A 24,060-nucleotide genomic window follows, 5' to 3' on the forward strand; every position below is an offset into this window, starting at 1 on the left:
ATTATGATAGCACTTAGCCCTCACTTAATGCCAAATTTGAACATTTCATAAAACATTGGGGTTGTACTTGCTTACAGAAGCAGAGGAGATAAGATAAATATGCCAACATCAATGTCACAAAGCAAAATATCATAAGAATATAAGTAAAGAGCAATTGGGCTCAAAGGAAAAGGAGGCACATGTACCTGGAAAAGCTGTAGAAAACAAATGGCACTGGAAATGAACTCCGAATGAGGGATGAGACTGGCTGATGGCATCAGGGCAAGGACAGCATATTAGGCAGAGGCACAAACTTGGGCAATTATACAGAAGCAAGAAAAGCAAGTCTCCAGGGAACAATTCACTTTGACACTAGTATACTCCACACTCTATGAATGTAGAAACAGACAGAGATAAAGCTGAAAAATAGGTTATATTCGTGTTTGCCAGGCCAAAAAAAAATTATAATTTAATCCCAAAGCCTAGAGAAAGTCTTTCTAGACTTACCAGTATGGAAGTGTATGGTGAAAAACATACATTTTCACTTTCTATTTCCATCATCATAGTTTACGCCCTCAATATCCTAGACCACTGTGAGGTGAAGAAATCAAGTCAGAGGCTAGCAATCTCTCACAATTTCCATTTCCATTTACCTAAAATACAATTCTGCTCATTTTCAACCCCTGATCACAAATCTTCAACCAGATACATCACCGAGACTTAAAATACAACATAATATATAACAGAAAACAATTCAAATCCAGATATTGCAGCAATGTCTTCATATTTTTCAAATGTAGAATTAAGATGCCTTACAAATTACTCAAAGACACAGTCTTGGAAAAAAAATGCCAGTGGAAAATGCGTACGTCCAATTATATTTTCCTATTAAAAACTATAAAAAAGAAAACACTAAAAAAATCTAGCTGTAAATAGTAATAAGTGAATAATAACTAAAATGCAACAAAAACCATAATCCCAGGATTTAAAAAAGGAAAATAGACAAACAACTGAACTGCAATAGAAAGTCCATACAAGACTCAAGCAAATGTAAGAATTTATTATGAAAAATAAGATACTTCAAATCTGTGGTGAAGTGATGGATTATTCATTAAGTAGTGTTGGAAAAGTAACTAAACAATGGAAAAACAGGGTTTAATGCTTAACCATTCCCAAAGACAGTGAGTTGTACAACTCCAGGAGGCACAGTTCACATTATAGTCTATGTGACAGTAAATGGTACTGCCTAGAGTTGTGAGATGTGGTTGCTATGTGCCTAAGTTATACCAAAAAAATAGCAGATAGATAAAAGTAAAATCATAAAAATATCCAAGAATATGGAGGTGAATATTTTTGTAATATTGTGGTGAGGAACCAAATAAATCCATTATTAAGTAAAATATTAACAAGTATAATTATAAAACTTCTAAAATTAAACCTAAAACATCAAAGAATAAACTGGGAAACACATTTACAACCTATGTAGTAAAGCAAATTTACCTCTACTGTATAAAAAATAGTTACAAACCAACATGGCAAAAGGAAAATAGGCAAAGAATACAAACAGGTAACTCATCAATGAAAAAGAATGACAAACACAAAACTGTTCAACCACATACAGCAAAAACAAATCCAAATTAGAATAAATTTTAAAACTAATATACCAATGTTCATATGTGCTTGGCAAACAATTTTTAATTTTTTTTAAGAGATGGGGGTCTCACTATGTTGCCCAGGCTGATCTCCAACTCCTGGCCTCAAGCAATCCTCTCACCTGGGACTCCCGACGTATCAGGATTAAGGTGTGAGGCACCGTGCCTGGCTAGCAAATAATTTTTAAATGCTTATGACTAATAATTTTGATAAACCTATGAGTATTTTTCACATTACTACACAAAATATATTTTATTTTGAAATATTAAGCAAAAACCTCAAACATGACCTTTGACCAAGAAATTCAACTTCTAAAATGTATCATAAGGAAAAAAATTGAACAACTGTGCAAAGATGTATGTTTAAGGATGATCAAAACAGTGTCTATACCAGTAAAAAAAAAAAGTATGACTAAAATAATTAACAATAGATTATTACATAAAGTATTGGATAGTTTTTAAATATTATCCAGCCACTAAAATTATGACATAGATTTATGTTTATTAACATGGCATTATGTCCATAATGTAATCTTAGGTACAAAATAGTATGTATAATAAACACAGTAATGCATAAGCAAACAGTTGAGAGGTTAGTTTCTGAAAATGCTGATAATGAATCTCAAGGTTATATCTGTAGTTTTTAATTTTCAGCAATCAACATATGCCTCAATTTTCTAGTTTTCACAATGAACATATATTGTTAATGTAACTTTACAAATTAAAAATATTTATAAGAAACATTGTTTTATTAAACCATTGAAAGCATTATGACAGTAGTATTTCATTTTAAAAATATACAAAATTGAGCTGATTATTCCAAGCCCATTTATTTAAAAAAATTTTAAAATATAGCACATGGCAGGCCTTCATAAAAATTCCTTCCTCTGTTACATTTTGGGTCCATACTGATAATAACCAAACATAAGTGTAAAATTATATTATTAAATAAAAAATATATATGAAAAATAGAGCCTGTGAAAATAAAATAAATTGGTCTTCTGGATACAATATTTAGAAAAAGACATTTTCTCACAAAGTACTGTCCAGATTGAGACTAAGTTGTTGACTAAGACATCCAGGTCTTGTTTCTCTTGTGTTTTGCTTTCTGTTATCTTTTATTTATGAGCATACTATACAACATGCTCATTCCCTTGTAATATTTTGAAGAAAGTGAAAAAGATGAAAACATATAATAATTATCAATTATTTGGTTTAAGCCAAAAGAATAATAGGCTGGGTGTGGTAGCTCACGCCTGTAATCCCAGCGCTTTGGGAGGCCAAGGAAGGTGGATCACTTGAGGCCAGGAATTCAAGACCAGCCTGGGCAACATAGTAAAACCCCATCCCTCCACAAAAAATACAAAAATTAGTTGGGCATGGTAGTGCACGCCTGTAGTACCAACTACTCAAGAGCCTAAGGTGAGAGGACCACCTAAGCCCAGGAGGCAGAGGTTGCAGTGAGCCAAGATTGCACCACTGCACTCCAACCTGGGCAACAGAGTAAGACCCTGCCTCAAAATATTAATAAAAAATTAAAAAAAAAATAACAGCATTTTTCTCATTTCTTCCTCCTGCATTCAAAACTATGTATTTCCCCAAAGTTATAATGTCACATATATGAAACCTGTCATTTTCCATTTTTAGAGACCTGAGCAACCAAACATTGTGATTTTTCCAACCTTTGGAATGTTCCTTGAAAAAGTTTTTCTCTATTTTCTTGTATCTGTAATTAGGCCAGGCTATGAAAACTATAGAGGTGATAATTCATTAAGTTGTACATTTACAGTGTATGTACTTTTTTCATACTTCACTAAAATGTTAAAACTGCAGGGACCATTTAAATGATGCCTGGTTAATGTCCTTAAATGTTCTCTAAAATACATTTAAGTAAACAGAAGCAAAATATAAACTCTTCGCTAAAATGTATTCTTATTTTCTTGGAATATTAAAAATGAACACATTTAAATCTCAAACCAATCTCATATCTCAGCCGAGATAAATGATGGTTGAAAAGAAAATGCAGGCCGCATCAATGGAAGAGGTGCCATCTATCACATTAAATTTAAAAAAGAAAGCTGTATAGTTCACTCAGCTTCTGGTGACAAACAATACTGTTATAACCCTACCCAAATTTTACTGAAGTTCTAAGTTCACATATACTTTTGTCTTACAGAAGTCTGATCCCCATTACCACCTCTACCAGAGTACAAGTTGAAAAAATAAAAGTGAAAGTCCAAGAAAACAAGTTCACCCATTGTTAAAAAAGAAAAAAATCTATGTTTAGTGAGGAAGAAAACTCACATTGTAACCTCAAATACTTACTTCAGAATGCACGTTAAGTATGTAACATAATAACTACTTATAAAGGAATGACCCTCAAAGAAAGCCTCCCAGTCATATCAAAAACTTTAAGGGCATATGTATTCAACAACTAACTTGCAACACAGCAAATAATTGCCCAAGAGATTTTTTTTAAAAAAAGAAAAAGAAATCCAAGTCTTCTTCCTACTAGCTGTGTGATCCGGGAACGCTATGTAATCTTATTCTGATTCTCTTTGCCCATCTGCAAAATGATAGCATCTACCTCACAGAGTTGGGAAGCTTCAATGAGATAAGCACAAACAATGTTCAGCATAATACCTGCCATACAGCAATCAATGGAAACTTTTATCATTATTATTCTGAAATTTTATTTAAAAAACAACTAACAAACGCATTTTCAATTCAATTATATGATGTAGTTATTTTTTAAAGGAATAAATTATTTTTAAAAGGAATGATTATGATTTCTCACCTCAACAGAAATTTCAGAGACTTGATTTTCACTTTTCTTAAATGTTTCTACTCTCTTCCAGTATCGTCCCCCATCCCGCTCCTCCTCCAAGATAGGGTCTTGTTATATTGCCCAGGATAACCTCAAACCCTTGAGCTCAAGAGAGCCTCCCACCTTAGCCTCCCAAGTAGCTGGGATTACAGGCACATGCCACGGTGTCTTGCCAGTGTCCATCTTTAATGCAGAAATCTTTACAGTAATACTTCAATATCTTGTTCCCAGAAAAATATGCATGAGAAATGTGTGTACAAAAATACCATCTTTTTTTTTCCAAGAAAAGCATTACATGATGTAATGGGGGATGGGGAATAGTATTTTTGAGCACACAGAAGTAGAACACATGATCACAGATTATGATGTATGCTCCAAGTGATCCAAGTGTGTGACATCAAAATATCACACAAATTTGTTGTTTAGTTATATTTCTAAAGAAAGAAAACAGGAGGAAAGCAATATTTTGAGGACCTACTATATACTGGGCAGGGTCAAAGGAAATCTACTCTGGCTTGTTATATCTTCCTAACAGTCCTCTGAAACCTGAGTGAGAAGTTAACTTCTGGTAATTCACAGTTAGAAACAGGGATGGAAATGGGATTTAAACCAAGATCTAAATGGTTTCAAAGCCTATTCTTTCTTGTCTCTCAATCACAAATTACACAGCAGAAATGATTACAATAGTTTATGGCATCACTTTATGATATTATGAAGCCTCTAAAGTATTAGTAAAGTATTACTTTGATGGAAAAAATTTATGAATACGGTGTTGTTCTCATTATTATCTTAAAATACCTAGCCTCCATGTGCCCATTCAACAAGATTTATTCAAAGTCATTTACCCTCAGTAGAAGTCTTCCTAACTAATCCTTGCAGTTTTTATTGTTGTTGCTACCATTTAACTCACTTTAAAATATCAATTTCATACTTAGTTTTAGGTAGAAAGTCTCTAAATCAATAGATTAGGTGGCTATTCTTCAGTATCTTCAAACTTCATCAAAAACAACAGCATACAAACAAAATACCTTCTCTCTATCCTCTACCTTCTGTCCTGCAATTATCACAACTTGGCATTAATGGAAAAGACCAAGCAGAGATTACTTTGCTTCTTTATCTTCCAAAGAAGAGATCAATATCCTGGGTACTCTTCCATCCCTGAAGAGTAACTAGATCAAGCTGGAGGATGTGGGTTATCATACAGCACATCCCAATAAAACACCATTTTATCCTACTCACTCTCTTACTCCACATAGACTGCTGATACATATGTTAACCATTCATGCTCTCCACTTTGTCCCAAGATGCAATTCTTCCTCAAGTCTTTTCCCAGGTGAAGGCTCGTACCCTACAGCTGCCAATGAATGTTCTATTACTTCTCCCAGGAAAAAATATGGCTTTCATTTTCAAAGCCCTTTTAGCAAAGGAACTTTTTCTTTTCCAAATAAAATAGTTTACAAAACTCAAATTTATAAACAAGATAAAAGCAAACTACCCTCAACAAAGCAAAATTAGGGGACCAGAGTAAAACAGCTCAACATTCCTTTCATCCAAATCACAAGGATTCCTCACAATACAATGTGAAACAAACATGATTTTGAAGAAGCAGCCTCAATAGAAAATTCCATGAGAAATTTCCTGCTCACTGTACTAAAATCTTGAATAAATATATTCTTCTGTAAGAAATTAAATAACCATGATGAAGAAACAGACTCACCCTGCCCCTGTAGCCAGATCTGTGATAATATCCCATAAGTATCCCAAAGACTAAGAATGAACTTCATTAATCTGCATAATTCCAAAACAGACACATAAACAGATGGACACATATAAAAGATATTTTATAAGCAATATCCCATTACAGCTGTTTATTTTTAAATCATCAGTTAATATTTTGTATCTGTGTATAAAAAAATATCTAGTTTCTGGCAATAAAACGTCTTACAATTCTGGCACTTTTCTGTCAGAAGAGCCAAAACATAGTAAACAAAAAACCAAAAACAACAATGGGTAGTGTGTGTGTGTGTGTGTGTGTGTGTGTGTGTGTGTAGTTTATTTTGCTTTGTTTTAACTCTAATGTCTTTCTAGAGAAGAGCTTCAAAAATCATTCTTCTTCCTCCAAAACAAACAGTACTCTTTCCATGTAACTGACGTGGTACAAATGCTGCATGTATTAGTTTCTTATTGCTACCGTAACAAATTACCACAAACCTAGAGGCTTAAAAAGCACAAATTTGTTACCTTATAGCTCTGAAGGTAAAGTCCAAAACAGGTCACAATAAGCTAAAACCAAGATGTTTCCATGGCTGTATTCCCTTCTGGAGGCCCTTAGGGGAGAATCTGTTTCCCTGGTCATTTAGGTTGCTGGCAGAATGGAAGTCCTTATGGTTGTGGAACTGAGGACCTCACTTCCTTGCAGGCTATCAGCTGAGGACAGTTCCCAGCTTCTAGAAGACATCTACATACCTTGGCTTATGATCTCCTTCTTTCATCTTCAAAGCCAACAATGGCAAATCAAGTACTTCTCATGCTTCAAATCTTTCCTGTCTCTTCATCCATCACCTATCCACTCTTCTGCCTTCATCTTCCAATCCAGAATAATCTCCCCATCTCAAAGCCTATAATTTAAACGTACCTGCCAAGACCCTTTTGCAATGTAAGTTAACATATTCATAGGTTCCAAGGATTAAAACAGGACTCTCTGGGGGACCATTATTCTGCCTATTGTGCCATACTTGTTGAGCTGCACTGATTTGAAGTCAGAAAAAACACCAGAGAACATGTCATGATCTGCTGTAGTCTGCATGTGTCCCCCAAAATTCATATGCTGGAAGTTTAATCCCCAATGTAATAGTGTTGGGAGGTGGGGCCTTTTGGGAGATGTTTAGCTCATATAGGCTCCACCTTATGTACACATACAGCAATGCTGCTATAAAAAGGGTTTGCAGGAGTGGGTTCTCTCACTTCTGCTCTTATCCCACAAAGGAACACAGAGTTCATCTCTCTTACCCTTCTACCTTCCACCACGTAAGGATGCAGCACGAAGGCCCACATTGAATGGCAACAACTTGTTCTTGGACTTTCTTGCCTCCAGAACTGTGAGATACTACATTTCTGTTCTTTATAAACTATATAATCTGTAGTATTCTTTACAGCAGTACAAAACAGAGTAAGATACTATCCTTTAGCCTCAAAAGTTGTTAGGATCAAAAGCATTAGAGTTCAAAATACTGAGCAATTGTATCATTAAATATTACCACTATGAGTAAATCCATCAATTAGAATAGCTATTATCACTAAGCCCTTACTTCTCTTGAAATCAAAGAATATCTAAATATGTGAACATAACTTAAGGCTGAATAAATTAAATTTCTCATTGTAAAACAGAACTTATTTATAATTTTAGACTCCTCTCTCTTTGCTTAACTGCCTGTGTCCCACAAATCTCAATCCCTAAATAATGTCACCACAAGGCTAAAGTCACATTGGAAGACACAGGCTTAGATGATATCTTCTAGAAAGCACAACACTGTTCTTGTCATAGAAACAAGACCGAACTTAAACCAGTGACAAGACCCATGAGTTCAACACATGCAACATCTAGAATCTCTTAGAATCCCCATATTAAATATATTCAAAGACTATGAAAAAGGTGTTGCTACTTTGAATTAGTTTTGGCAAAAAGAAAGAACAACTTCTATTGGGACACAGATCTTCTGCTGTTCTTCTAAATAAGGGAAAGATGTGCCTTAGAAAATAAATTGTTAAATAGCTAGAAAAATAATAACATGAAACTAATTTGAGTATTAAAAATTTCCACAAGACATGTCATCTTTTCAAAACAAAGTAATTTAATAGCAATAGACCCCAAAAACCAAAGTAAAGGTACTTGACAACATTCTTATATCCGTTTGTTCTTTGGGAGTACAGAAATTTTATATACATAAAATTTAAGTTTATATTTAATATTACCTCCAATTTCAAACTAAAAATAATGCATAAGCTCTCAACCTACACAGATTGTTATCAAAGTGATTTAAATTTACAATGCATATCCAATTTTACAGTCTTTGAGTGCCTATGAGAAACAGGCAAATACAAATTAGTTTCATCTAGCTTCCACTAATGGCAGAGTGAACTGGTCAGGCATAGTTTCCAGCAGATAAGCTCTAAACCTATATAAAGCACTTCTAAAAACACACCATAGTCATGTGCCACATAATGATGTTTTAATTAGTAACAGTGGTCCCATAAGATTATAATGGAGCTGAGAATTTCCTATTGCCTACGATGTCACAGCCACAGTGACCTTAGCATAATATGTCACCTGCTCTATGTTTAGATATATTTAAGTAGACAAGTACCACTGTGTTACAACTGCCTACAATATTCAATACAGCAACATCAATAGGATATACCATATAGCCTAGGTGTGTAGTAGGCTACATCATCTAGGTTTGTGTAAATACACTCTATGATGTTTACACAAAGATGAATCACCTAAAGACACATTTCTCAGAACATATCCCCATCATTAAACGATGAATAACTGCATTTGAAGGCGACAGAAATAACCAAAGAAAGATTTACTTTTAATTATAGAAATTGCAATGAGTAAGAATTCCAAGTCTGGTCATTTTTGTCTAATGGCACTCACTACCACAACTCCCATTCCAAGTCCCATAGATACAGACTTACATTCTGGAGATGGCTGAGAACAGGAATCAGGGCAGGCAGAGTAGTTATTTCACATAAAGCTGGGGACGAGGGGTCAGTGGGTGGAATCCTGAGAGCCACAGGAGCAAGACCAAATCCCCGCCTTATCATTAACATACATATGCGTGGCAGAGATCCAATGGGGATTTGGAGAAAAAAGCAATCGAAAGTCAGAGAGGAATCTACCCTTACAAGATCTGTAAAATGAGTGAGTCTGCTGCTTTTTCAGACTGATAGCATTCCCTAAACAGTGCACAGCTATAATGGCAGAAAGCTGGGGCCTTACTAACTTGCGGTGTCAGAGGACTGAGCTCATGGCTGGCACGGCAACTGAAAGGATAGGGAAGAAACACACAAAGGAAAAAGAGGTAAGGGCCATAATTTTAGTACCAACTTTGCCAGAATCCTTGGCGATAGCTAACTACACAGGTACAGGGAAAACCATAAGGTACTACACTCCCAAAGTGGCAGCTGTAAGATTAAAGAACTGAGCAAAACCAGCAACTACACAATGCAGGGAAAATAATGTACAGTTTAAGACCAGACAAGTTAAATTTGTTCTACAGGCTAGAACAAAAACAACATGAGCAATCCTCAGAGAACATAACAGAATCTACAATCAATAAAATGTACTATCCATAATGTCTAGTTTTCAACCAAAATTTATTTCACATGCAAATAAATGAGATAACATGATCCATATGCATGAAAAGGAAAAAAAAAGTCAATAGAAATTGATTCAGAGAGGGCTAATATGTGGGACTTAGCAAAGACTTCAAAGCAGCTACTATTTCACCTGAAGTAATTCAACACTAAGTAGACTGTGGTAATTAAAGATGCATGTTGCAATCTCCAGTGAATTTCTAAGAATTACAGTGTAATTCTTAGAAAAATAGTACAAGCACAGAGCTAAAAAGTGCACAAACAAAATAAAATAGAAGACACAAAAGTATTTGATTAACATAAAAGAAAGCAGAAAATTCCAAGAAAGGAAATCCCAGACTAGATGACTTCACAGGTGAGTTTGGCCAAATACTTTATTTCATTTATTTTTTATTTATTTTTACTCATTTTTTAATTATTTTTTTTTTTAAGAGACAAGGTCTCGCTATTCTGCTCAGGCTGGTCTTGAACTCCTGAGCTCAAACGATCCTCCCACCTTAGCCTCCTGAGTACCTGAGATTACAGTCACATGCCACCATACCCAGTTGGACCGAACATTTAAAGAGTAAATATCAATACTTCTACAACTCTTCCCAAAAATTAAAGAGAACGGAATGCTTCCTAACTCAGTCTATGAGGGCCAGCATTTGCCTGACATCAAAGTCAAAGACACTACAAGAAAACAACAGCCCAACATCCTGTATAAATACAGATGAAAAAAATCCTCAACAATATACTAGCAAACCAAATTCAGCTGTGTATTAAAAGGATCATACATCATGAACAACTAGGATCTATCTCTGGAATACAAGAGTAGTTCAACATACAAAAATCAATCAACTGACTGGGCACAGTGGTTCATGCCTGTAATCCCAGCACTTTGGGAGGCTAAGGCAGGTAGATCACTTGAGGTCAGCAGTTGGAGACCAGCCCAGCCAACATGGAGAAACCCCCATCTCTACTAAAAACACAAAAATTAGCTGGGTTTGATGGTATGCGCCTATAATCCCAGCTACTTGGGAGGCTGAGGCATGAGAACCGCTTGAACCCAGAAGGCAGAGGTTGCAGTGAACCAAGATCGTGTAACTGAATTCCAGCCTGGGTGACAGTGAGACTCTGTCTCAAAAAAAAAACAAAAAACAAAAAACAAAAAAACAATCAATATAATATACCACATTAATAGGATGAAAGGAAAAAAACACATGACCATTTCAACTGATGCAGGAAGAGCACCCCAACTCAACACCATTTCATGATAAAAACATTTAATAAACAGAAATAAAAGAAAAACTTCCTTAACACAATAAAGGTCATATATGAAGAACACACAGCTAACAAAATACTCAGTTGCGAAAGACTGAAAGCTTTTTCCCTAAGATCAAAAACAAAACAAGGCCAGACACAGTGGCTCACACTTATAATCCCAGCACTTCTGCAAGCAAACATAGGAGAATCACTTGAGCCCAGGAGTTCGAGACCAGCCTGGACAACATAGCGAGACTCCATCTCTACCAAATAAAAATTAAAAATTAGCCAGGCATGGTGGCATGCCTGTGTCCCAGCCACTCAAGTGGCTGAGGCAAGAGGCTCACTTGAGCCCAGGAGTTTGAGGTTACAATGAGATATGTCTGCGCCACTGCCACTGCACTCCAGCTTGAATGGCAAAGCAAGGCCCTGTCTCTACAAAACAAACAAACGAACAAACAAGTATTAGCCTGCACCTGCTCCACCAAAACTTCTATAGTGTTGGAAATCCTAGCCAGAGCAATCAAGTAAGAAAAAGAAATAAAAGGCATTCAAATCAAAAGGAAAGTAGTAAAACTGTCCCTGTTTGCAGATAACATGATCTAATATTTACAGAAATGCATAAAGACCCCACCAAAAAACTATTAACATAAAAAATTCAGTAAAGTTGCAGAATACAAAATCAACACACAAAAATCAGTGTCATTCCTATGTACCAACAACAATCTATATGAAAAAGATATTAAGAAAACAATCTCATTTACAATTGCATCCAAAGAATAAAATACTAGGAACAGACTTAAGTAAGAAAGTGAAAGACCTGTATATTCAAAACTACAAATAAAAGAAACTAAAGAACTAAAGAAGACAAACAAATGGAAATACTTCTAATGTTCATAGATTAGACAACTGAATACTGTTAAAATTTCCCTACTATTCAAAGTGGTCTACAGATTCAATGCAATCCCTATCTAAATCCCAATGTCATTTTTTAGAGAAATAGAAAAAAAAATCTAAAATTCATATGGAACCACAGAAGACCCTGAATAGTCAAAAGAACTCTGAGAAACAAATAATATAGCTGGTATCATCATACTTCTTTATATATACATACACAAAGCTATAATAATTAAATAGTATGGTACTGGCAAAAAGAAAGACAAACTGATGCAATAGAGTAGAGAGCCCAGAAATAAATTCATGCATATATGATAAACCAATGTGTAACAAGGGTGCCATGAATACACAAGGAGGTAATGACAGTCTCTTCAACAAATACAAGGAAAACTAGATATACAAATGCAAGGGAATGAAATTGGACCCTTAGTCTTACACCATACACAAAAATCAACTCAGAATGGCTTAATGATTTAGCCGTTAGACCTGAAACTGTAAAACTCCTAGAACGACACGTGAGGAAAAACTCTGTACCATTGGTCTTGGCAATGATTTCACAGATGTGACCAAAAACACAGACAACAAATGCAAAAACAGACAAGTGCGACTACATGAAACTAAAGAGGTTCTGCACAGCAAAGGAAACAAGACAGTGAAAATGCAACCTATGAAATGCGAGAAAATATTCACAAACCATGTATCTGATAAAGGGTTAATTTCCAAAACGTATAAGGGACTTTACAACTCGATAGCAAAAATAAAAACCCAATTAAAAATGAGCTAAGGACTTGAATAGACATTTCTCCAAAGAATACATACAAATAGCCAACAAGTATATAAAAAGATCATTAATATCTGACCAGTCATCAGAGTAATGCAAATCGAAACCACAGTGAGATACCACCTCACATCCGTTAGAATGGTTATTATTAAAAAAAACAAACAAGCAAAAACAACAAAAAACAGACACGTGCTGGTGAGGTTGCGGAGAAATTGGAATCGTTTTACACTGTTAGTGGGAATGCAAAATTGTACAACCCCTATAGAAAATAGTATGGTGATTCCTCAAAGAAATTAAAAATAGAATTACTATACGATCCAGCAGTCCCACTTCTGGGTTTTTATCCAAAATAACTGAAATAGGATCTTGAGGAGGTATCTGCACTCTCATGTTCACAGCAGCACTATTTACAACAGCCAAAATACAGAAATAACCTAAATGTCCACCAGCTGATGACTGAATTTTTTAAATGTGATATATATACATAGAACAGAATATTATTCCGACTTAAACAAGAAAGAAATCCTGAAATATGCAACAATGTGGATGAATCTTATGGATATTATGCTTAGTAAAATAAGCCAGTCACAGAAAGACAAATACTGCATGATTCCACTGACATAAGGTATCTAAAATAGACAAATGCATGGAAGCGAATAATGGAATTGTGGCTGCCAGGGGCTGGGGGAGAGGAAGAAATGAGGAGTTGTTAATCAATGGGCATAAAATTTTAGTAAAGCAAGATAAGTAAGTTCTAGAGATCTGCTGTTCAATACCATGCCTATAGATAACAATACCATATTATACATTTAAAAATCTGTTAAGAGGGTAGATCTCATATTAAGCGTACTTACCATTCTAAAATTTAAAAAAGAAAATCACCACACTAACGTAAGGTATTCCTATTAACCTATCCAGAAAAGTTTAAAAAACAAAGGGAAGAGGAGTAAATTTTTTTTTTTTTTTGAGATGGAGTCTCGCTCTGTTGTCCAGGCTGGAGTGCAGTGGCACAATCTTGGCTCACTACAACCTCTGCCTCCCAGGTTCAAGCCATTCTCCTGCTTCAGCCTCCTGAGAAGCTAGGATTAAAGGAGCACGTCACCATGCCCAGCTAATTTTTTGTATTTTCAGTAGAGGTGGGGTTTCACCATGTTGGCCCAGCTGGTCTCGAACTCCTGACCTCAAGAGATCAGGCTGCCTCAGACCTCCCTAAGTGCTAGGAGGTGTCAGCCACCATGCCTAGCCTGAAATTTTTAAAATGAGATGACAGAATGGAATGTTAAAGAGGGAACTGGAGTCTGTTAATTCAGTGCAAATAGGCGAATAGTGTATCTCAATTTCAAAGTTTAGAAGTAGGGATAGTATCTAACCTCCAGCTCTAATTCCTCCTTTGCATCTACATTTTTTTTCTGCAAACCTTTCTAAAACATCCCCCAGCTCACTTCTCCTCAAGTCTCCTGAGCCCAGATGAGTCGCATGTCCACGTTTAAACCATTACGTAAAGGAATGAAACTATCATGATCTATCATGATTTAAGCACTGGAGCAATTAAGTAGTCCCTTCCTTGAGCCCAAAGATATTATTAGGAAGAAGAGCACTCAACCAAACTGAGACCCTGTAAAAAAGAAAGAATGGAAACAAAGGAAGTGGGAAGTCAATCAGTAATGTATGCTACACTGAATATAGATCCACGTGCCATGGAAACCAATTTAAGATGTAAGAGTTGGCATCCTGTCTTGAAAAATAAGATTCTATCCAATTGTTCTTTCCTGGAACATATGAAGGGGGTTTTCAGGAACTTTTGCTGACAAATTCTGCATTCTCCTCAAGAAGCGACTCTGGATAAACTTGAGAAGTGAACAACTGAACTTCCAGAGCCCTAGACCATGCAATTTAGATACGGATTTCTTTTTCAAAGCAGATGTTACTAATCTCTGTAATTGCTACAGAAACAACTTCATAAATCTCTGTGTACTACCTCATTCTGAGGATCATGCCTTCTTCATGTGCCCACGAAAATAAATTCACCATAAGATATATCCCTAGATATCTAATTTGGCACTTTTTAGTTACATAGTATAAACTGATTGGATTTTAGAGAATGGTTTACCAGATATAATAATTTCAGGGTTTTTTCCAACAGTGAAATAACTTTAGTTTTAATATAATTAATAAGGAAATAATATAGATTATCACCACTGGCAACAGGATATATTCCTAGTTGTAATAATAAAACCATGTCATCAGTATGTATCTTCCTTTGGGATATGATATTAAAAGATTCATCAAATCACATTTCTGATTCATCAAAAGAGATTTCAAATCTCTAACACAGAAGTTAAAAACAAATGAATAAAACTGCAAGCTATTTTACTGAATATGTTTCTGAGAAGATCATGCCTCCCTGCCCTGTTGTTTATACAATATGAAAGTGTAAAATTCTACAGGTACACCTATAATCATAAATTTACATTCAACCATTCTAACAGCCTTTAGCAATCTTAATTTGCCATATTTACCAAAACAAAGACTAATAAAAACTGTTTCACATTGTTACTGGCTTTTCTATATATAAAGGAATAAATTATCTTGGCAATGAAAAGTAGAACAACCCACCTAATTTTCCTGTACAATATTATACTTAGAGACCCAAAGCTGTAATTCATCAAGAAGAAAGCTAGCATAATTTTAAAGGAACAGTCAACAATAGAATAAGCCTGTAGTTCTGAGGCACTTTGTTTAGATTAAGACACATTTTTTTCAAATTAATATTATTAGTAATATATACTAGAAGGGAAAAGAACTTGAGAACTATTGGCATAAGCATCCAAATGAAAAAGAAAATCCCTTAGAACCAAGAAATAAAAAACTTTGATACATTACTAGTTGGAAGTACCTTAAGCTAAATAAATTGTTCTCAAACTTTATAAGTCTTCCAGCAAGGGGTGATAGCAAGGTAAAACACAGAGCTTCCATGAACATTATTAAACAACCATATGAAACAGAACACATATCTAGAAATGCTTGCAACTTTAAAATGTACGAAAAACAACATACTAATGTTTACAGTAAAAGAGCTCCTTGTTTTTGTCTAGATGTTACCCTGAATTTTTTACACTATATGATAAAAGAATGAATAGAATCATAAATGTGGTATGAGTATTACCTGTTAAATATAAATTTTAGCAACATTAACTTCAATTAGTTTTAAAAAAGGTTTGTGTGCTTGTGTGTATAATTTCTATATGCTTATCTCTACCACATACAAACACATATCTAAGCATAAGCCTTTCTGGCCATTTGGATTTGAGCACAACATCACCCCCATCTGGTGGTGGCTGAACCCAGTCACATATGTAAGCAATTTAGAGACCATTTAAATCAAATGTACAAACAGAAAATCTTTATAATCTGTCATTACACTGTAGATATACACATATACATTACATTAACTATGAAGAAGTTGTCACACACAAAAAACTTCAATGCATTTAAGAAACAAGTCACTTCAGACTCACAATAAAGGGAAAACGAGAAACAGTTTCATGGTATTTTTTTCTTTTGATTTTTATTTCAATAGCTTTTGGAGTACAAGTGGTTGTGATTACATAAATAAATTATTTAGTGATGAATTCTGAGATTTTAGTACACCTATCACACAAGTAGTGTACTTTGTACCTAATATGCAGTTTTTTATCCCACATTCTCAATACCCTTCCTCTTCTGAATCTCCAAAGTCCATTTTATCACTCTAAGTCTTTGCGTATTCTTAGATTAGCTCCCACTTATAATGAGAACATTTGATGTTTAGTTCTCCATTCCTGAGTTATCTCACTTAGAATAATGGCCTCCAGCTTAATCCATGTTGCTGCAAAACACATTACTTCATTCCTTTTTATGGCTGAGTAGTATTACATGGTGTGTATATACATATACATCACGTTGTCTTTATTCACTCATTGGTCAATGGGCATTTAGGTGGGTTCCATATCTTTGAAATTGTGAATTGGTCTGCAATAAAGATATGTGTGCACGTGTCTTTTTCATATAATGACTTCTTTTCCTTTGGATAGATACCCAGTAGTGGGATTGCTGGATTGAATGGTAGATCTACTTTTAGTTCTTTAAGGAATCTCCATACTGTTTTCCATAAAGGTTGTATTAATTTACATTCCCACCAGTAGTGTATAAGCATTACCACATCCACACAAACATCTATTGTATTTTGACTTTCTAATAATGGCCATTCTAGACGGAATAAGCTGATAATCTCACTGTGGTTTTAATTTGCATTTCTCTAATGATTAGGGATGTTGAACATTTTTTCATATGTTTCTCGACCATTTGCATATCTTCTTTTGAGAAATGTCTATTCATGTCATTTGCCCACTTTTTGGTGGGATTATTTATTTTTCTTGCTGATTTGAGTTCCCTGTAGCTTCTGAATACTAGTTCTTTGTCACATGCACAGTTTACAAGTCTTATCTTCTCCCGTTCTGTGGGTTGTCTGTTTATTTTGACAATTATTTCTTTTGCTGTAGAGAAGCTATTTAACCAGGTCCCATTTATTTATTTTTGTTGCATTTGCTTTTGGGATTTCAGTCATGAATACTTTGTCTAGGCCAATGTCTAGAAGAGTTTTTCCTAGGTTTTCTCCTACGGTTTGTATGGCTTTGGGTCTTAGATTGAAGTCTTTGATCCATCTTGGGTTGATTTTTATATAAAGTGAGAGGGATACAGTTTCATTCTTCTACATGTGGCTAGCCAGTTTTCTCAGCAGCATTTATTTAATAGGGTGTTCTTTCCCCAATTTATGTTTTTGATGCTTTGTTGAAGATCACTTGGTTCTAAGTATTTGGCTTTATTTCTGAGTTCTCTATTCTGTTTCATTGGGTCTATGTGCCTACTTTTATACCAGAACCATGCTGTTCTGGTAACTGTATACAGCCTTGTAGTATAACTAAGAGTCCAGTAATATGATGCCTCCAGATGTGTTCTTTTTGCTTAGGATTGCTTTGGTTATTTGGGCTCTTTTTGGTTCCAAATGAATTTTAGGATTTTTTTTCCCATTCGGTGAAAAATAATGTTGGTATTTTGATGGGGAATTGCACTGAATATGTAGACTGCTTTGGGCAGTATGGTTATTTTCACAATATTGATTCTTCCAATCTATGAACACAAGATGTGTTTCCATTTGTTTGTGTCATCCACGTTTTCTTTCAGCAGTTTTGTAGTTCACCTTGTAGAGATCTTTCACCTCCTTGGTTAAGTATATTCCTAGTATTTTATCTTTTTTGCAGATGCAAAAGGGGCTAAGTTCTTGATTTGATTCTCAGCTTGGTGGTTGGTGTGTAGCAGTGCTACTGATTTGTGTACATTGACTTTGTAACCTGAGACTTTACTTGTTTATCAAATCTAGGAGTCTTCTGGAGCAGTCTTTATTTAGGGTTTTTCATGTATACAATCACATCATCAGTGAACAGTGATAGTTTGACTTTCTTTTTCCAATTTGGAAGCCCTTTACTTCCTTCTCTTCCCTGATTGCTCTGACTAGGACTAGGACTTCCAGTACTATGTTGAATAGAAGTGATCAAAGTGGGCATCCTTGTCTTGTTCCAGTTCTCAGGGGGAAGGCTTTCAACTTTTCCCCGTTCAGTATGATGTCGGCTGTGGGTTTGTCATATATGGCTTTTATTAATTTGAAGGAAATCCCTTCTATGCCTAGTTTGTTGAGGGTTTTTTATCATAAAAGGATGCTGGATTTTACCGGATGCTTTTTCTGCATCTATTGAGATGATCATATAGTTTTTATTTATAATTCTGTTTATGTGATATATCACATTTATTGATTTGCATATGTTAAATCATCCCTGCATCCCTGAAATAAAACCCCTCGATCACCATGCATTATCTTTTTGATGTGATGTTGGATTTGGTTAGTTAGTATTTTGTTGAAAATTTTTGCATCAATGTTCATCAGGGATATTGCTCTGTAGTTTTCTTTTTTTGTTATGTCCTTTCTGAGTTTTGGTATCAGGGTAATACCGGCTTCAAAGAATGATTCAGAGAGAATTCCCTCTTTCTCAATCTTTTGCAATAGTTGCAGTAAGATTGATACCAGTTCATCTTTGAATATCTGGTAGAATTCAGCTGTGAATCTATCTAGCCCTGGGCTTTTTCTTTGTTGGCAATTTTTTTTATTACTGATTTAATCTTGCTGCTTGTTATTGGTCTGCTCAGGGTTTCTATTTCTTCCGGATTTAATCTAGGAGGGTTGTATGTTTCCAGGAATTTATCCATTTCCTCGAGGTTTTCTAGTTGATATGCATAGGGGTGTTAATAGTAGTCTCAAATGATCTATTGCGTTCTGTGGCATTGGTTGTAATGTCTCCAGTTTCATTTCTAATTGAGCTTATTTGAATCTTCTTTTTTTTCTTGGTTCATCTAGCTTAATGGTCTATCCATTTTGTTTATCTCTCAAAGAGAGAATTCAGTTCTTGGTGCTTTCAGGGGTGGAAACTCTGAGTTCCTTGGTTATTAAGAGTCTTTGTATGATAGCTTTCTCTGCTGCTGGTTGTAGTAGCAATATGTTGGTCATGTGAGCAAGTTCACTGTCTCCCATAGGGTTGAAATGGTAGAGGTCTCTTGACGCTTAATCTCATTCCCCTGTGATGTGCACTTTTTTATTTATTTTTTCCCCAGTATTTTATTTACTGGATTGAATATTTTAGGCTTCAGGCCAATACAGGAGGTGTCCACAGGTAAAAACCAGCTTTGGCTAAAGCAGGTGGGTAAATGCAATACCCAATGGTGGGGAAAGGTCCCAGCCTTGACAGAGGTGGCCGAGGAAGCTCTCAGTGAAACACACTGAGGTCTTACCAGAGGGAGGGACTGGAGCCACCTTAGCTCCCTTGTCAGGCTGGCAGAAAATTCATCTGCAGGAATGTTGATGTTTCAAGTGGAGAGGAATTGTGCCTCTGCCTCTCATGCAATCCTGCACTTGGAAAGTGCTCCTCCTGTGGGGATGCAGTCACCCTGAAGTGTTTCAGAGAGGTTGTCTATAGGTATACCCATGCCAAGCTCCCATGGGAAAAGCCCCACCTGTGTCTGCAGTGGTGAATGAGGGGGAAAAGAAGTCATCTTCTCCAAGGCTATTCACAAGCACCAGGACTGCCTGACTGTTGGGGCAGAGCTGCAGACTTTCCTTGCTGAGCCCAGCATGGCAACTGTATTTCTCCTGAAAGAAACTTCCCACCAGTGGAAAGATCTGGGACTCAAGGCCTCCCGCCTGGGTTCTTTTGTGCCATGGGTGGTCCCTTGATGTGGTACACTCTCCCTTCCCCTAGAAACAGGTGTCCCTAAGGGCAAGAATACTGTGAATGCTGTTGTTCCTCTGGGTCTAGATGCCCAGTGTGGCTGCCATACTCTAGGCTGCTGCTTGGAATGCCTGCAAGGAATCCAGAGATATGGCCTGTCCTCAAGTCTCCCAGCAGTGGGTACCAGTACCAGCTCTGATGGGGGTGGCAGGAAAGTGACACAGACTGTGAGATTCCTTGGTTATGGATAGTCTTAATGTGTTGGCTTTCTGAAATGATGGTTGTAGTAGTAATGAAAAGGTTATGTGGACAGACTCAGGACCTCCTGGTTGGCCAGGGTAGTAGAGGCAATGGTGACAGGTAAGGTCATGCACAAGTTTTCTCCTTCCTGGGTGCAGTATTATTCTACCTGGAGATGATGTAATGGACTGTGTTAGTTGGCCTCCAGCCAGGAAATGATGTGTGCAAAAGAGCACCAGCTGCAGTAGTTAACAGTGGTATTTGTGTTGGTCTTATGTTACCCAGGGGCAGTGCTTTGGTTTCTCAGGAATGGGCAGGGCCATAAAGCTCCCAAAAGTTTCTGTCCTTTGTGTTAAACTACCAGGGTGGCTGGAGGGGTAAAGCCAGGTGGGGGCTGGGGTCAGGCAGGTCCCTGCTCTGACTCTCCACAAGTGGGGCAAGCAGCAGCCCCTGGGCAGGAGTTTGAGGGAGGTTTCTCTGGCACTGGGGTAATGTTCCAGAGAGGTGTATTAACTGTCTCTGCTGCACAGAGAATTGTATGTAGGGAGTGGGAAGTAACAGGTGATAGTAAACCCCACCCAGCTCACCCAGCTCCCCGCATACTTCGCAAGGCAGATCTCACACCCACAGTTTCCCAGTAGCAGCATCCAGCTAAGTTCTAGACCTTCTACTCAAAACTGCCCCAAGCCATATGCCTTCCCTGCGGGAAAACAGGAACCACAGGTTTCAGGCCACGCCCCTCCCAGTTGGCTCACACAGCTGGGGCACCCAGCTCCCTAGCTTGTGGCTACAGGACACTTGCCACTCACCCTCTGGTTCTGGCCTAGGAAATTCTTCCTCATTCGAGGTTATCATGAAATTCAGTTGGGAGGTTCTTTCAACCTGTGACTGCTTCCTGAGTTAGCTGGCGGACTTCCATGAGATACACTGTGAGGCAGAATAATGAATGGCTCCCCTTGGTCTACTCTGCAGACTGGGAAAGCACGCAAGGCTGCTCCCACTGCCGTTCCTACTTTTATATATGTCACCACTTCCTAAATCAGTTCCAGTGTTGAGTAGGATAAAGGTCTTCCCCTGTGGGTTGGATTGTCAGGTTCCCCTGTAGGGGTGTGTATCCTGGAGGCAGTCTCTTCCACTCTCACCCTCTGGGGACTTACAGTTTTTCACCTGGCTCACAGTATAGGCTGTAGCCTGCAGCTTCTTTCAAAGCTCATGGTTTATTTTCAACCTTTCCTATCAATGAACAATTTTAATAGCCTTGAAATAAAACTTCCTTTTCTTTTCTTTTTTTTTTTTTTTTGAGATGGAGTCTCGCTGTCACCCAGGCTGGAGTGCAGTGGTGCAATCTCCGCTCACTGCAAGCTCTGCCTCCCGGGTTCACACCATTCTCCTGCCTCAGCCTCCCGAGTAGCTGGGACTACAGGCACCCACCACCATGCCCAGCTAATTTTTTGTATTTTTTTTTTTTTTTTTTTAGTAGACACAGGGTTTCACCATATTAGCCACGATGGTCTTGATCTCCAGACCTCGTGATCCACCCGCCTCAGCCTCCCGAAGTGCTGGATTACAGGCATGAACGACCACACCCGGCCGAAATAAAACTTTCTAAAATCTTCACCAACTGCAACATATTATAGACATCTCAAAAAACATTAATTACTTCAGTAATTAATGGGTCCCTATTGTATGGCAAGGTTATATAAATCATACTTTCATCTATACATAAGTGAGAAACGTTTGCCTATAAGTATTGTTTTATCAGATTAAGAAATATCATAGCTACAATAAGAACATCAGTGGATGAAACAAGTTTAAACTACCCCTCTCTTCCACAATAAATGTATCATAATGCTTCTATGACGTATTTGGTTTTAAGAATATTCTCTCATGGGGTGGGTGGAGCTAAGATGGCTGAACAGGAACAGCTCCCAGCGTGAGCGACGCAGAAGACGGGTGATTTCTGCATTTCCATCTGAGGTATCGCGTTCATCTCACTAGAGAGTGCCAGACAGTGGGTGCAAGACAGTGGGTGCAACGCACCATGCACGAGCCGAAGCAGGGCGAGGCATTGCCTCACTCGGGAAGAGCAAGGGGTCAGGGAGTTCCCTTTCCTAGTCAAAGAAAGGGGTGACAGAAGGCACCTGGAAAATCGGGTAACTCCCACCCTAATACTGCACTTTTCCAATGGGCTTAAAAAAACGGCACACCAGGGGATTATATCCCGCACCTGGCTCGGAGGGTCCTATGCCCACAGAGTCTCGCTGATTGCTAGCACAGCAGTCTGAGATCAAACTGCAAGGCAGCAGCAAGGCTGGGGGAGGGGCGCCTGCCATTGCCCAGGCTTGATTAGGTAAACAAAGCAGCCCCGAAGCTCCAACTGGGTGGAGCCCACCACAGCTCAAGGAGGCCTGCCTGCCTCTGTAGGCTCCACCTCTGGGGGCAGGGCACAGACAAACAAAAAGACAGCAGTAACCTCTGCAGACTTAAAGGTCCCTGTCTGACAGCTTTGAAGAGAGTAGTGGTTCTTCCACTACGCAGCTGGAGATCTGAGAATGGGCAGACTGCCTCCTCAAGTGGGTCCGTGACCCCCGAGCAGCCTAACTGGGAGGCACCCCCCAGTAGGGGCACACTGACACCTTACACGGCCGGGTACTCCTCTGAGACAAAACTTCCAGAGGAACGATCAGGCAGCAGCATTTGCGGTTCACCAACATCCACTGTTCTACAGCCACCGCTGTTCTGCAGCCACCGCTGCTGATACCCAGGCAAACAGGGTCTGGAGTGGACCTCTAGCAAACTCCAACAGACCTGTAGCAGAGGGTCCTGTCTGTTAAAAGGAAAACTACCAAACAGAAAGGACATCCACACCAAAAACCCTTCTGTACATCACCAACATCAAAGACCAAAAGTAGATAAAGCCACAAAGATGGGAAAAAAACAAAGCAGAAACACTGGAAACCCTAAAAATCAGAGCGCCTCTCCTCCTCCAAAGGAACGCAGCTCCTCACCAGCAATGGAACAAAGCTGGAAGGAGAATGACTTTGACGTGTTGAGAGAAGAAGGCTTCAGAAGATCAAACTACTCTGAGCTAAAGGAGAAAGTTCGAACCAATGGCAAAGAAGTTAAAAACCTTGAAAAAAAAGTAGACGAATGGCTAACTAGAATAACCAATGCAGAGAAGTCCTTAAAGGAGCTGAGGTAGCTGAAAGCCAAGGCTCAAGAACTACGTGAAGAATGCAGAAGCCTCGGGAGCTGATGCGATCAACTGGAAGAAAGGGTACCAGTGATGGAAGACGAAATGAATGAACTGAAGCGAGAAGGGAAGTTTAGAGAAAAAAAGAATAAAAAGAAATGAACAAAGCCTCCAAGAAATATGGGACTATGTGAAAAGACCAAGTCTACGTCTGATTGGTGTACCTGAAAGTGATGGGGAGAATGGAACCAAGTTGGAAAACACTCTGCAGGATATTATCCAGGAGAACTTCCCCAATCTAGCAAGGCAGGCCAACATTCAGATTCAGGAAATACAGAGAACGCCACAAAGATGCTCCTCGAGAAGAGCAACTCCAACACACGTAATTGTCAGATTCACCAAAGTTGAAATGAAGGACAAAATGTTAAGGGCAGCCAGAGAGAAAGGTCGGGTTACCCACAAAGGGAAGCCCATCAGACTAACAGCGGATCTCTCGGCAGAAACTCTACAAGCCAGAAGAGAGTGGGGACCAATATTCAACATTCTTAAAG

General features: G+C 37.7%; 1 protein-coding gene across 10 annotated transcripts in view, besides 2 other annotated features; it reads right to left on the reverse strand.

The window, feature by feature from the left end:
- Window positions 1-24,060, reverse strand: part of COG5 (component of oligomeric golgi complex 5) — a 362,549-nt gene that overhangs the window by 284,326 nt on the left and 54,163 nt on the right. The window lies entirely within an intron of this gene.
- Window positions 22,247-22,748: an enhancer, noted in NCBI's record as "H3K4me1 hESC enhancer chr7:107148389-107148890 (GRCh37/hg19 assembly coordinates)". NCBI's record gives its function as "activates a minimal SCP1, AML or CMV promoter by ChIP-STARR-seq in naive H9 embryonic stem cells {active_cell/tissue: H9 hESC(naive)}" and the evidence as "EXISTENCE:reporter gene assay evidence [ECO:0000049][PMID:30033119]".
- Window positions 22,749-23,248: an enhancer, noted in NCBI's record as "H3K4me1 hESC enhancer chr7:107148891-107149390 (GRCh37/hg19 assembly coordinates)". NCBI's record gives its function as "activates a minimal SCP1, AML or CMV promoter by ChIP-STARR-seq in naive H9 embryonic stem cells {active_cell/tissue: H9 hESC(naive)}" and the evidence as "EXISTENCE:reporter gene assay evidence [ECO:0000049][PMID:30033119]".

Source organism: Homo sapiens, chromosome 7 (genome assembly GCF_000001405.40).
Source record: "Homo sapiens chromosome 7, GRCh38.p14 Primary Assembly".
NCBI classification, from domain to species: domain Eukaryota; kingdom Metazoa; phylum Chordata; class Mammalia; order Primates; family Hominidae; genus Homo; species Homo sapiens.